This window comes from Homo sapiens, chromosome 6, assembly GCF_000001405.40.
Source record: "Homo sapiens chromosome 6, GRCh38.p14 Primary Assembly".
Lineage (NCBI taxonomy): Eukaryota > Metazoa > Chordata > Mammalia > Primates > Hominidae > Homo > Homo sapiens.
Genome location: NC_000006.12, coordinates 91,719,033 through 91,733,892, shown reverse-complemented (window position 1 = coordinate 91,733,892; position 14,860 = coordinate 91,719,033). Strand labels below are relative to the sequence as shown.

Here is a 14,860-nt window from a genome sequence, read left to right as displayed (position 1 = left end):
TAATTATTTCCTACATTATCACTTGATTACACAGTATCAGTGGTCTACTTTAAGTGACAAGAAATTTTATTGAAGAAACACTGCCACTTGGAAATGCCAGTTTAAAATAAAATCAAATCAAATTATATAAGATTATGATGTTAAATATTAAAAAGGAGTGTTCCTGGGGTTATTTTTAAAGCAATTATAATTTATGTAAAGGTATGAAACAACAACAAATATATATATTTATATATATGATATGTGTGTGTGTGTACATATGCATCTGTATATATATATAGATATAGCATTCTTGGATTTCAGGGACCACTAGTATCCCTAGAAAACCCATGACAAAGAATGACCATAAAAAACTGCAACACAGGCCGGGCGCAGTGGCTCACACCTGTAATCCCAGCACTTTGGGAGGTCAAGGTGGGTGGATCACGAGGTCAGGAAATCAAGACCTTCCTGGCTAACATGGTGAAACCCCGTCTCTACTAAAAATACAAAAACAAAATTAGCCGGGTGTGGTGGTGGGCGCCTGTAGTCCCAGCTACTTGGGAGGCTGAGGCAGGAGAATGGCGTGCACCCGTGAGGCAGAGCTTGCAGTGAGCTGAGATCGTGCCACTGCACTCCAGCCTGGGCGACAGAGCGACGCTCTGTCTCAAAAAAAAAAAAAACCTGCAACACATGAGCAATTATGAAATGATTAGCTTCTCTTCTCCCAGCACTGAAGATTACGTGAGACTCCAAAAAACAATAGGCAACTTGATATATTCCTGGCTGTATTTAAATTGGGACATACATGGTCTGGTTCCAGCACTGGTCCCACTAATAGATTGCAGCACTATTCACAATAGCCAAGATTCGTAGGCAATCTAAGGGCCCATCAACAGATAAATGGATAAAGAAAATGTGGTACATATATATGATGGAATATTATTCAGCCATAAAGAGGAATGAAATCCTGTTATTTGCAACAGATATGGATGGAATTAGAGGACATCATGTGAAGCTGCATAAGCCAGGCACGGAAAGGCAAACTGTATGTTCTCACTTATTTGTGGGAGCTAGAATTTAAAATAATTAAACTCATGGATGTAGAAAGTAGAATGACTTAGCAGAGGCTGGGAAGGGTGTGGGGAGAAAATGAGGATGATTAATGAGTACAAAAATATATGGGATGAATATTATCTAGTATCTGATAGTACAACAGGCTGATTACAGTCAACAAAAATTTATTACACACTTAAAAATAACTAAGAGTATAATTGAAATGTTTGTAACACAAAAAAATATAATAAGTGCTTGAAGTGGTGTTTAACCCATTTGCTGTGATGTGATTATTCTGCATTGTGTGCAAAATATCTTATCCAAATATCTTATGTACCTCACAAATATATGCACCTACTATGTACCCACAAAAATTAAAAAATAAAATAATGTATTATTTGGGGCATGTCATTTAATCTCTCTATGCCATAATTTTCCTCATATGTAAAACAAAATTGTTGTAGTAGATGATGCTCAAGGTTCCTTTCATTTTATACTGTAATGTAGTACTGCTATTTACTCTTAAAGAGCTCACATGTAAAATCTAGAGAATGTAACTTGTAGCTTGAAGTAAAGCCTATTGTGCCTAGAAGTAATGATATCTGTCTTAGTCTGCTAGAGTGGCCATAACAAAATACCACAGACTGGGTGGCTTAAACAGCAGACATTTATGTCTTACCATTCTGAAGGCTGAAAGTTCAAGATTGAGGAGTCAGCAGGTTTGGTTTCTTGGATCCTCTCTCCTTGGCTTGCAGGTGGCCATTTTCTCATTGTGTCCTCACATGGCATTTTCTCTTGCATACACACATCCCTAGTGTCTCTCTCATTGTAAGGGCACCAGAAATATCCTCCTTAAAGGCCCTATCTTTGAATACAAACATTGGGGGTTGTTGCTTCAACATATAAATTTTGGGTGACACAATTCAATTCATAGCAATATCCTAACAATAGTGATGAATAAAAGGACCAAATGTGTAAGAGTTTTATACCAAATGCACACAATGTATCTGAGACACCAAAAAATATGTTTTATAATTCTGTATTTATGTGTGTATATATACCTACACATTTGTGTACATATTTTCATTTATTTTTGGAATCAAGTTATCTTACTAACTGATCATTCTAGGATTCTTGAGGTATTGTCTTTTTAATGGATTCTGCGTATGGTTTTGAATTTTATAGGTTCTAATTTTAAAGTATAAAAAATGTAAAAATAAAATAAAACCAAAAACCCATAATAGATAATTTAGTCCTAAAATTAGCCCTTTATTTGCATGCCAGTTAATGATAATGGGAGAAACTTAGCTCTGTGATGTTTTCAGTGAAAACATTCTAAGAGTAAACCTTTTTCTTTGTAACAATCATTTCTGTGTGAGGCAGTTCTGGTCTTGTATCTCTCAGAGAATCTGGCCTGGGAATCATTGTTCTGCTCTCAGCATTATCTCTGAGTTTGGGTTTTCCCTGAGATTGGATGCCCTTCTTAGCTCTATTGCATTGGAGAGGATATAGTTGTCTACTGTGTGAGCATCACCTAGAGTACTCTTCACCCTTCCACTAGGTCTATGGCTTCAGGTAATTAGTGGGCATGGAGTGTCCTCACCAGCTTCACAACAATGTGTCACAAACAGTTGTGAACATGCTTTTAGTTCAAAGAGGTTCAAAAGAAAGACCTCAGCAGTGTTTTCAAGCCCCTTGAGGAAAAACTCCAGTTCGTACATACTTCTGAGAGACCTACTTTGGGGATGCAGGGAACTTCTATTGTCTACCAGACAATGTTGTTTCTGGATGGTTTTCAGTGATGTTTGTGTTTAAAAAAAAAAAATCAAGCTAAATTCAGCTCTTCTGCTTTTAAGAATAGTGCAATATCATACTTCACAAATATATACAACAATGATCAAAGGAACTCATCTTTCTGAACAGGATGAGGGTCACGGTAGAGTGCCCAGTGAACAGAGCATTTCCGTAATAGAAACCAGGGGATATAAAAAACAGATACTACCAAAGTTCAGGCAAAAATCACAATGCTATCTAAATAAAGCTATCTCTCTAGGGATTCTCTTAATTTTTGAAAGTGAGGTTTGCTAATGAGTAATTTTATTTCCAATTTAATACCATCATTATAATTTACACATTAACTGTGACCCACGTTATGTAAATTGCCCTTGAAACATGTCCAATGTGAAATTTTAAAAATGTATAACTTTGTCCACAAGCTGTAATTTATGTGCTGATTCATAAATTTGTATCAATGAGTTGTGCCTAGTCAGTCCTGCACCAAAACCCTCAGAAGCATAAGGCAGTGGCTAAGACCGTGGAGTCCAAATTTTTATTGTTCGGGTCCAAATGGGGCAACATGGCTTGAACACTTGTGGCCATGTGGGCTTCATAAGATGACTTTACCTCTTAGACTCAATTTCTCCATCAGTAAAATGAAGATAATAGCTCTTACCACAGAAGGTTGTTGCAAGGCTCAAATGAAGGAGTACACACAAAGCTCTTAGTTTAGTACTCAGTGCAGAGTAAGGATCCAATAAATATTAGCTATAATTACTTTTTTTCTTTAATGGGTTGTTACTGTGCTCTACAGGGGTATATATTAAAAAATAAAACCCCAACATAAAATAAAAGGTCAAAAATCACTTATCTGTGTAATTTGCATGATGGAAAGTATATATAAAAACAACAATAACAAATAAAAAGACATTACTGAAGTAGAATGCATTGCACAGCTTTTAGATTATGTCTGTATAAACGCAAGTTCTCAAATTGACATTCACTTTCATGTTAAGATAATAAATCACCAGTTGATTTTTTAAAAAAGTGCTCTCGTTATCTTAATAATAAATTCCAATTTATTATCATATATTCTGCTTTCTCTTTTTACTCAAAATCGCTGAAACAAACTAAAACCGAATAGCAATTACAAGCATATCTATGTTGAGAATTACCTCAAGTAGCTTAAATGAATTAAGGACACGCTCATGCTCATGCAGGTTGTGTCAAGGAATTCACAATCAAGATAAAAATTCCAACTAGTAAAATGGTGTTCAGTAGAGAGAAATGTGGTATGTTGTGATTCTAACTAGAAATACTTCACATTGTTTTAGGCTTCAAAGTTGAAGTAGACACTGCTGATCACCACCACTTGCTTTTCCCCTTTCTGCTTTGCTGAAAGAACTCTTCCCACTGCAGACACTCAGAATGCTAGCCATTCACTTTACTGGCCTCTTGCAACTGGGACACAGGCGCGTGATTTCCAGGAGAACTCTTCTTAATGGCTTATGAGTAAGGACTTCTTCCCTGACAAAAAGAGCAAGGTATAGGAGAAAATATGGCTTCATCTTGCCTTTAGATGTTATTTCCTATAGGTGTGAAAACGGGAGACAGTGAAGCTGTCTTAGGATTATAAGGGTCAAGCTTTGCAACTTTTCAAAGAAGCCAACCCAGAAGCTTCTAGATTAACCAACCCTGGTAATATTTAACTTCAGAATTTCTGTAATGTGAGATAACAAATGTATATGGTTTAAACCCCTTTTATCAGATGATATTCTAATGCATGCAATTAATATAAGATTTCTTAAGGGGTAGAGTTATGATAACTAATAGTAGCTTTCATAACATTATAAAATTATTATAAAAGACCTTAGTTTAATTAAAATAACCTCATATTGATTATTGAGAAATAATTCTCTCGTCTTAAATCAATCCTACCAACTAGTAGAGGGATAAGTAGATTTTTAAAAGATCATAATTTATAATATGATAAATTCATTATGGTCCCATTTAAATAAAAAAAAGAGAAAAAGAGAAAGTGGGGGAGAGAGAGGGAGACAAAGAGAATATTTATGAGGATATTTATCAAAATTTTAACATTTCTTACCCTGGGTAACAATTAAAATAAGCTTTTACTTTAAAAAAATCATTATATACTCATCTCCATATTTTTGCATTATTTAATGTTATTAGTATTTAAGTTAAAATATAACTTTTTATGTTGAAAAAATAAAAACATGGATAATTTGTATCTATTTATTAAACTGTGGTGAATTTGGGGAAAAAAGAAAGAGGTATTCTCACACACTTATTGTGAAAATATACTATGTGCACATTTTCCTGCAATTTAATAATGTACAATATGACATAGAAAGATGTTCATGACATATCTATATATATATATATATATATACTTTGACAGTATGTGTGTGTGTTATTTCGATAGCTTCTGCATAAATGCATATGTGTAGGTGTGTTTAGTCAAATAAACATTCTGAAAGAATAATCACCAATTCTTAATGGCAGTTTTAATTGACATAGAATATTATGGAAAGACAATGCAACAGGAAGAGCTAACTATCCTAAATACATATACACCCAATACAGGAGCACCCAGATTAATAAAGCAAGTTCTTAGAGACCTACAAAGAGACCTAGACTCCCACACAATAATAGTGGGAGGATTTAACACCCCACTCTCAATATTAGACAGATCAATGAGACAGAAAATTATCAAGGATATCCAGGACTTGAACTCAGCTCTGGACCAAGCAGACTTAATAGACATCTACGGAACTCTCCACCCCAAATCAACAGAATATACATTCTTCTCCGCACCACATAGCACTTTTTCTAAAATTGACCACATAATTGGAAGTAAAACACTCCAGCAAATGTAAAAGAAAAGAAATCACAGCAAACTGTCACTCAGAGCACAGTGCAATCAAATTAGAACTCAAAATTAAGAAACACACTCAAAACCACTCAACTACATGGAAACTGAACAACCTGCTCCTGAATGGCTACTGGGTATATAACGAAATTAAGGCAGAAATAAAGATGTTCTTTGAAACCAATGACAACAAAGACACAACGTACCAGAATCTCTGGGACACATTTAAAGCAGTGTGTAGAGGCAAACTGATAGCACTAAATGCCCACAAGAGAAAGCAGGAAAGATCTAAAATCAACACCCTAATGTCACAATTAAAAGAACTAGAGAAGCGAGAGGAAACAAATTCAAAAACTAGCAGAAGACAAGAAATAACTAAGATCGGAGTAGAACTGAAGGAGATAGAGACACAAAAAATCCTTCAAAAAATTAATGAACCCAGGAACTGGTTTTTTGAAAAGATCAACAAAATAGACCGCTAGCCAGACTAATAAAGAAGAAAAGAGAGAAGAATGAAATAGACACAATAAAATATGATAAAGGGGATATCACCACCCGTCCCACAGAAATACAAACTACCATCAGAGAATACTATAAGCACCTCTATGCAAATAAACTAGAAAATCTAGAAGAAATGGATAAATTCCTGGACATTACCATATTATTAACAGACCGTAACCTTAATAGCACCTTCTTTGACCCAGCTGGAGGGGGAGACCCTATCCTGTACCAACACCTATTTTGATTCTTTGGTCACCCCGAAGTCTATATCCTAATCCTACCAGGCTTCAGAATAATTTCCCACATCGTAACATATTACTCTGGAAAAAAAGAACCGTTCGGATACATGGGCATAGTCTGAGCCATGATGTCAATTGGTGTTAAGAGTTGTGAGGGTAGTTATGATGAATAGTGATAGCATTATCCCTTCTAGGCATAGCAGGGAGGATATTAGGTGTGAGCAGTAGATTAGTATTCCCAAAAGTGAGATAGTAAATGCTAGTGTAATGTTTATGTAAATGAGGGTTAAACATAGACCGAGAACCTTCAAAGCCCTTAGTAAGTTAATAATACTTAATTTCTGCAACAACTAAGGACTGCAAAACCCTACTTTGCATCAACTGAACACAATTAGTTGCGGCAATAAAAATAATTAGGGAGATTAGTATAAGGGACCAGGTTCGTCCCTTAATGTTATGTATCATTATTATTTGTTTTAAGATGAGTTGGATTAGTCATTGTTGGGTAGTGATTAGTCAGTTGTTGATGAGGTATTTGGAAATTGGAACCAGTAAGGGGGGAAATAGGATGATTGGTACTGCAGCAGGTAGGCCTAGAATTGTGGGGGTAATGAATGAAGTGAATAAATTTTCGTTCATTTTGGCTCTCAGGGTTTATTGTGATTTTTCATGTTAATAAATTTTGGTGAGGCAGGTAGGTGATAGTGTGTGTTTAGTATTTTTAGTTGGCCCTCCCAAGACTAAACAGGAAGAAGTCAAATCTCTGAATAGATCAATAACAGGTTCTGAAGTTGAGGCAATAATTAATAGCCTACCAACTAAAAAAAGTCCAGGACCAGACGAATTCACAGCCGAATTCTACCAGAGGTACAAAGAGGACCTGGTATCATTTCTTCTGAAACTATTCCAATCAATAGAAAAGGAGGGAATCCACCCTAACTCATTTTATGAGGCCAGCATCATCCTGATACCAAAGCCTGGCAGAGACACAAAAACAAAAAAAGAGAATTTTAGACCAATATCCCTGATGAACATCGATGCAAAAATCCTCAATAAAATACTGGCAAACTGAATCCAGCAGCACATCAAAAGCTTATCCACAATGATCAAGTCAGCTTCATCCCTGGGATGCAAGCCTGGTTCAAGATATGTAAATCAATAAACATAATCCATCACATAAACAGAACCAACGACAAAAACCACGTGAATATCTCAATAGATGCAGAAAAGGCCTTTGACAAAATTCAACAGCCCTTCATGCTAAAAACTCTCAATAAACTAGGTATTGATGGAACGTATCTCAAAATAATAAGAGCTATTTATGACAAACCCACAGCCAATATCATAATGAATGGACAAAAACTGGAAGCAATCCCTTTGAAAACCAGCACAAGACAAGGATGCCCTCTCTCACCGCTCCTATTCAACATAGTATTGGATGTTCCGGCAAGAGCAATCAGGCAAGAGAAAGAAATAAAGGGTATTCAATTAGGAAAAGAGGAAGTCAAATTGTCTCTGTTTGCAGAGGACATGAATGTATATTTAGAAAAACCCATCGTCTCAGCCCCAAATCTCCTTAAGCTGATATGCAACTTCAGCAAAGCCTTAGGATACAAAATCAATGTGCAAAAATCACAGGCATTCCTATACACCAATAATAGACAAACAGAGAGCCAAATCATGAGTGAACTTCTATTCACAATTGCTACAAAGAGAATAAAATACCTAAGAATCCAACTTACAAGGGATGTGAAGGACCTCTTCAAGGAGAAGTACAAACCACTGCTCAAGGAAATAAGAGAGGACACAAACAAATGGAACAACATTCCATGCTCATTGTTAGGAAGAATCAATACTGTGAAAATGGCCATACTGCCCAAAGTAATTTATAGATTCAATGCTATCCCCATCAAGCTACCACTGACTTTCTTCACAGAATTGGAAAAAATTACTTTAAATTTCATATGGAACCAAAAAAGCCCACATAGCCAAGACAATCCTTAGCAAAAAACAAAGCTGGAAGCATCACACTACCTGACTTCAAACTATACTACAAGGCTACAGTAACCAAAACAGCATGGTACTGTTACCAAAACAGATATATAGACCAATGGAGCAGAACAGAGGCCTCAGAAATAACAACACACATCTACAACTATCTGATCTTTGGCAAATCTGACAAAAACAAGCAATGGGGAAAGGATTCCCTATTTAATAAATGGTGTTGGGAAAACTGGCTAGCCATATACAGAAAGCTGAAACTGGATCCCTTCCTTACACCTGATACAAAAATTAACTCAAGATGGATTAAACACTTAAATATAAGACCTAAAACCATAAAAACTCCAGAAGAAAACCTAGGCAATACTATTGAGAACATAGGCATGGGCAAAGACTTCACGTCTAAAACACCAAAAGCAGTGACAACAAAACCCAGAATAGACAAATGGCATCTAATTAAACTAAAGAGTTTCTGCACAGCAAAAGAAACTATCAGCAGAGTGAACAGGCAACTTACAGAAAGGGAGAAAATTTTTGCATTCTATCCATCTGACAAAGGGCTAATATCCAGAATCTACAAATAACTTAGATTAATTTACAAGAAATAAACACACAACCCCATCAAAAAAAGGGCAAATGATATGAACAGACACTTCTCAAAAGAAGACATTTATGCAGCCAACAAACTTATGAAAAAATGCTCATCACTGGTCATTAGAGAAATGAAAATCCAAATCACAATGAGATATCATCTCACGCCAGTTAGAATGGCAATCATTAAAAAGACAGTAAACAACAGATGTTGGAGAGAATGCGGAGAAATGGAAATTCTTCTACATTGTTGGTGGGAGTGTAAACTAGTTCAGCCATTGTGGAAGACAGTGTGGCGATTCCTCAAGGATCTAGCACCAGAAATATCATTTGACTCAGCAATCCCATTACTGGGTATATGCCCAAAGGATTATAAATCATTCTACTATAAAGACACATGCACATGTATGTTTATCACAGTAATGTTCACAATAGCAAAGTCTTGGAGCCAACCCAAATGCCCATCAATGACAGACTAGATAAAGAAAATGTGACACATATACACCATGAAATACTATGCAGCCATAAAAGGAATGAGTTCTTGTCCTTTGCAGGGACATGGATGAAACTAGAAACCATCATTCTCAGCAAAGTCACACAAGAAGAGAAAACCAGGCACTGCGTGTTCTCACTAATAAGTGGGAGTTGAACAATGAGAACACATGGACACAGGGAGGGGAACATCATATACTGGGGCCTGTTGGGGGCTGGGGGGATGGGGGAGGGATAGCATTAGGAGAAATACTAATGTAAATGATGAGTTGATGGGTGCAGTAAACCAACATGGCACATGTATACCTATGTAATAAACCTGCACGTTGTGTACATGTACCCCAGAACTTAAAGTATAATTTAAAAAAGAATATTATAGAAAGACAGATAACTTCCATTTGTTTGTTTTTGCATTCTTTTATTTTTTGATTTTTTAAATTTTGATTTTATATTATCTCTAATTTTTAAAAAAATAAACTAAAAAATGCAGTAAAGCAAAAATTTGTTTCTGTCCTTTCAAATTGTGCTATTAAAACTCTCAAAAGACTTGTTGGTAAGCTAGTATATTTGTGTTGGAATTTATATTGAAAGCTGATATGAAAGATTAGCTAGTGGTTGTCATGGTACTTATGAAAGACAACATGTACAGTTATATCAATCATCGGGAAAGAAGACTGCTTGCTATTTCATTATTCAAAAACATGGCAGGCAGGGTTATTTGGCTTTGACTCATTTAAATAACTTTATAGACATTTTTATTTCTAAACAGCATGAATCATAATCAAACATAATTTTAGTCTACAATTTTGGTCACTGAAACCATTCCTTTCCCAATGAACAGAAATTGTGTCCATGGACTCTCAATTCAACCCATTAATTGAGGGAGTTTATTTACCAACACCTTCCTCCCTAAGCGTGCAGCTAAGTCTTTTACAGTAGCTACCTTTTCCTATTCTTCTTCTCATCTTCTTTTTGGCCCTCAGTTTTCCCCAAAATGATACTAAGTTAAGGTAGTTCCCTGAAAATCCAAAGAAAATAGATGTTTGATATTGTTTTAACTATGGATTACATTTTTCACTTTTTGAATAAATTTCAATTTCCTGAATACTGTCTCCTTTCCTCTCAGCTGAAAAGCAAGTTCCCTTAGCCAAACATGCATTGTTTCTCCTCTTATTTAGTGTAAACTCCATGGGAGAAGATTTTATTTTTTTGAGACAGGTCTCACTCTGTCACCCAGGCTGGAGTGCAGTGGCAAGATCATGGCTCACTGTAACCTACCTCTCCTGGGCTCAAGCAATCCTCCTACCTCAAGCTTCAGAGTAGCTGGAACTACAGGCAGGAGCCACTATGCCTGCTAATTTTTTATGTTTTATAGAGACAGGGTCTCATTATGTTACCCAGGCTGGTCTCAAACTTCTGGGCTCCAGCAATCCTCCTACCTTGGCCTCCCAAAGTGCTGGGACTGTGCCTGGCCCCCATAGATCTTTAGTGAAGAGCAAGAGGTCAGTGAAATGAACTAATGAATTAATGAACACATGAAAATCTAACATAATGAAGGAAAGGCACCTGTAATGTTTGGTCTTAATTGGCTAGAAGTTAGAATACATGGCTACATATTTCTTCTGACTTTTTCTATTGCTTAATTTACAGCTTTAAAATTTGTTTTCGGCTTTTGCAAGAAGACCAATTGCCAGAGAATGAGTCAATTTTGTAGCATGAATGTAGGCTCTGTAATTCCTAAAAACTCAGTGTCTACCCAGGCTTCACAAGTTCTTTCCAGTCCATAACTTCAGGCCTCTACTGCATGAGGTTTAAGATCAGGTCACCTTGTTGAGGGAATGCGTTGCCTATTTCTGAGTCAGTGGCTATTACCAATTTAATAGATGATAAAATTTCAATCATCTGTCATTCATTTGAAATGTAACCATTTTATTTTATTCACCTATTTTGATTTTACCACAATTTTATTAAGTGAGGGATATTTTTTCTGATTCCCCTTAAGCTCATATTTGCTTCATATTTGTATCCATAGAAAAACACTTAATTTTTTTCTCTTAAAATGTATGTTTATTTTTTCCCAAAAGTCTGGATAAAGACCTGAAATATATTAATTTGTCCATCAAACATTTATTAATTTCTATAAAGGCCAAGAGCAGAGTGTTGAGAATCTAATCTAGATTGGGTAACATGAGAGAAAATTTATTATAATAATATTCTCATAAACAAAATAAGCAACTAGATGATATTAATATTAGGTAGATCCACAGAACCAGTGAGAATATAAAACACACACACAAACGATTTTCTTTTCTGACAAAATTATGGACAAAATCCATATTAACTAACTTGCCCTGATTCACTGTGTTCAATAGCCTTGAAATGTCTCATTTTCTTTACCAGTTGCAAGGTCTAATGGAAGCACATGAAATTGCAGTAACACTGTGAAGGGACACTGGTAGGAGATTTATTTTAAGTCTTGTGCGAAAGCTTGGTGCTCATTAAAGTGGAGGATTAATAACACTCTCCACTAGAGCCAGGTATAATGCAGGCCAGTGTTCATGTATCTAAGCACAGCACTGCAAATCCTCCTTCATCTTGACCTGCTCCCTCCTTATTACTCCAGTCTTATCCTGTTTGAGGAGAAAGTCCAAATCATGCCAAATTGCTCAATGGACATTGCAGCTTGGCTATACGTTCAAGGAGAGCAGAAGGGTAGCATGAAATTCCAATTTCTTATCTGATGTTTTAAAAGAATGAAATAAGTAGTAGTATGTGGTCTCTAAGATAATAGAGAGAAAGACCTCTTCTTTGACTGAGCTGAGTAAAAATATCGGCCTTAGCTCATGTCTATACCAGAAGCTATTAGACACACCTTTTTCTTAAGGACTATATTATAAAAATGCAATGAAATTAATGTTGTTTACTAGCAAAAGGGACAGTTCTAATTATTTACAGAAACAAGGGAGATTCCCCGAGAATGTCTGGATATAACTGGAAGCAAGAGAGTTAGGTGTATCTAGTTTAAAAACAAAATAGAAGGATCCACTACACTGGATTTCCATTTCAGTTCTCAGTGTTGTATGAATAAAAATTGTTTGTTTTATGTATATTTTCACAATGAATGGAGACTCCTTACTTATTCTTGTACCTTATTCTTTTTATTGCGAAAAAAAAAAACGCCTGGATCATTCGTCCCCCCAATTCATAAAGACTGAGGACTGAGAGTCACCTTCTAGAAATCTAGACCTACCTTTATTACAAACCCATGATACCAGGCAGGCTGCCGATATGTTTTACCAGTTGAACCATATTAGTGATCTCATCAGTTAAAAACCGTAAGTTGAATAAATCGATGCTGCACATATTCATAAACAAAGCCTAACAGAAAGGATAAGTAAATTCTATGAAATTATGACTGTGCAATTAGGAAATGAACAGATTCAATGCTTTTTGTAGCAAGATTTAAAATATATTGCAGATGGCATTTTAAAATCTTTTCTTTAGTTGAAGTTTTAAAATCAATAGAAAGAAAATAAGTCAAAAGGGGTTTCAATGAAGTATTTTAACTGCAAATTCTGCACTCTAAAATTTGGATTGGCTTTAGAATACATGTTATCTGAGACATTAAACACCCCATTTGAATCCAGTTAAAGATTAACTATTCTGTAAGAATGGAATCTATCTAGTAAAAAATATCCTCCCCTTATATTTTTGCCCCTGACAGCAAAAGAAAAGGGAGTGATACTGCAGGGGATTAAGCTAGATCAATGTAGGCAGTTATGGCAGTGGTAACCCTGAGTGACAGCTGAAGTCATTTTCTATGTCAGTCTTCCCCTCCCCTCCATACGCAATTCTTTTCTCTCTGCTCCACTTTCTCTCCCTCCCACTCTATTATATTATACTGCTTCTGTTTCCTTGTATGCTACTCTCCCTTTCCATTCCTTCTGCCTTTATCTTAGGGCTGATAGTGAGCCCCATAAAATATTACTCAGCCCTTTCTCTGGTTCTAAAATATAAAAATATTGTTGACTATGTTTATGCTTCATTAATTTCTCTTTCCTTTTTTCTGTCATGCCTGATATCCCCAGAATTGTCTTTAAAATAATCCCACAGAAGTATCATATCAAAACCAGCATATTGTGACCAATATTATTTTCTGCCTTAATTTGAATCCTGAGATAACAAAAAGGAAGATATGGCTTTTTTTTTTCTTTTAGCCAAATCAGCTCTAGGATGAGAGAATGTTGTTTTATTCTTTGGGAAAGGTTTTTCTCCTCATTAGTTTTTCTCAGACACTGAATTTTTAGACTAGTTCTCACAGTGAAATAACAGAAAATAATTTTCATTTTCCAAGTTTTAGGGAAGAGCTAATGTATTTGGAAGAGAAACTTTTACTTACCTTTTTCTGGGAAAAACTATATGGTAATGTAGACATAAACATAAAACAATGAAGTTTTATCAAAAGAAAGGGAACACATTTAGTAAAAAATCATTAAAGCAGCACATTTGAGAAACACCGGGGTGTTCGGTTGTAAGACAAAGCATTGGCTTGGGCACCAGGTCTGCCATGAGCCAGCTGTATTATTCTGGGCCAGTTACATGCTCTCTAAGGACCTTAGGTTCCTCATCTCTCAAACGAGGTATTTGTACTAAATGATTTCTTCAATTCTGGAGGCAAGACCATGACACTGAAACCATGATATATTTGGTAATGTTTTCCTTTTCAAGTTGCCAGTGGAGTTAATTGTCCACCCAGGGTGATGTCACAATAATGTTTCAGTTTCATTGCACTCTTTGATGTTAATAAGACAGACATAGAGACATAGAGAAAAATAGTACCAATTTTTTGTTTCCATTCTGATGGGAAAGTAGAGAGGTATACCTTCTCTTCACTGGTTAGCCATTGCTTTAGCATATTTTACACCATGCCATATTGGAATCCCTATCTATCTTAATAGAAGTTAATCAGGAAATCCCTTGATGGTATCGCTCCATTTTTATGGCCAGTCCTAATCCCTATTTTATTTAAACTAAAATCTTTGATGTTATTAGTATCAGCTATGTCTCCCAAGTAGATGATAATATAGTATAAGTGCTATGTTCGTGTGGCGGTAGCAAGCACTGAGACCCAGGCAGAATGTTAAATGCTTTACGGATAGCTCATACACTTTTTTACAAAACACTTCAAGGTAAAAATAATCATTATCCCCATTTTAAGAGTTAAGAAGTTCAGATGATAAGTAGGAGAACTAGAATTAGAACACAGGGTTCTCTGACTCCTAAGTATGCAATAATTTTTCTACTGGAAAATGCTTGATAATATAAATTACAA

At 35.7% G+C, this 14,860-nt stretch overlaps 1 long non-coding RNA gene and 3 pseudogenes across 1 annotated transcript; 1 reads left to right on the top strand and 3 right to left on the bottom strand.

The window, feature by feature from the left end:
- Positions 1–3,870: 3,870 nt before the first annotated feature.
- LOC105377894 (uncharacterized) lies at positions 3,871–14,218 on the bottom strand. The gene is made up of 3 exons (XR_942783.3): positions 13,928–14,218; positions 12,779–12,906; positions 3,871–4,338 (listed from the first exon to the last, which is right to left on the bottom strand). It is a non-coding gene; the product is annotated as an uncharacterized LOC105377894 (long non-coding RNA).
- On the top strand, positions 6,388–6,611 carry MTCO1P56 (MT-CO1 pseudogene 56; annotated as a pseudogene).
- Positions 6,569–6,734, bottom strand: MTND4LP19 (MT-ND4L pseudogene 19; annotated as a pseudogene).
- On the bottom strand, positions 6,823–7,083 carry MTATP6P25 (MT-ATP6 pseudogene 25; annotated as a pseudogene).
- Positions 14,219–14,860: the final 642 nt, after the last annotated feature.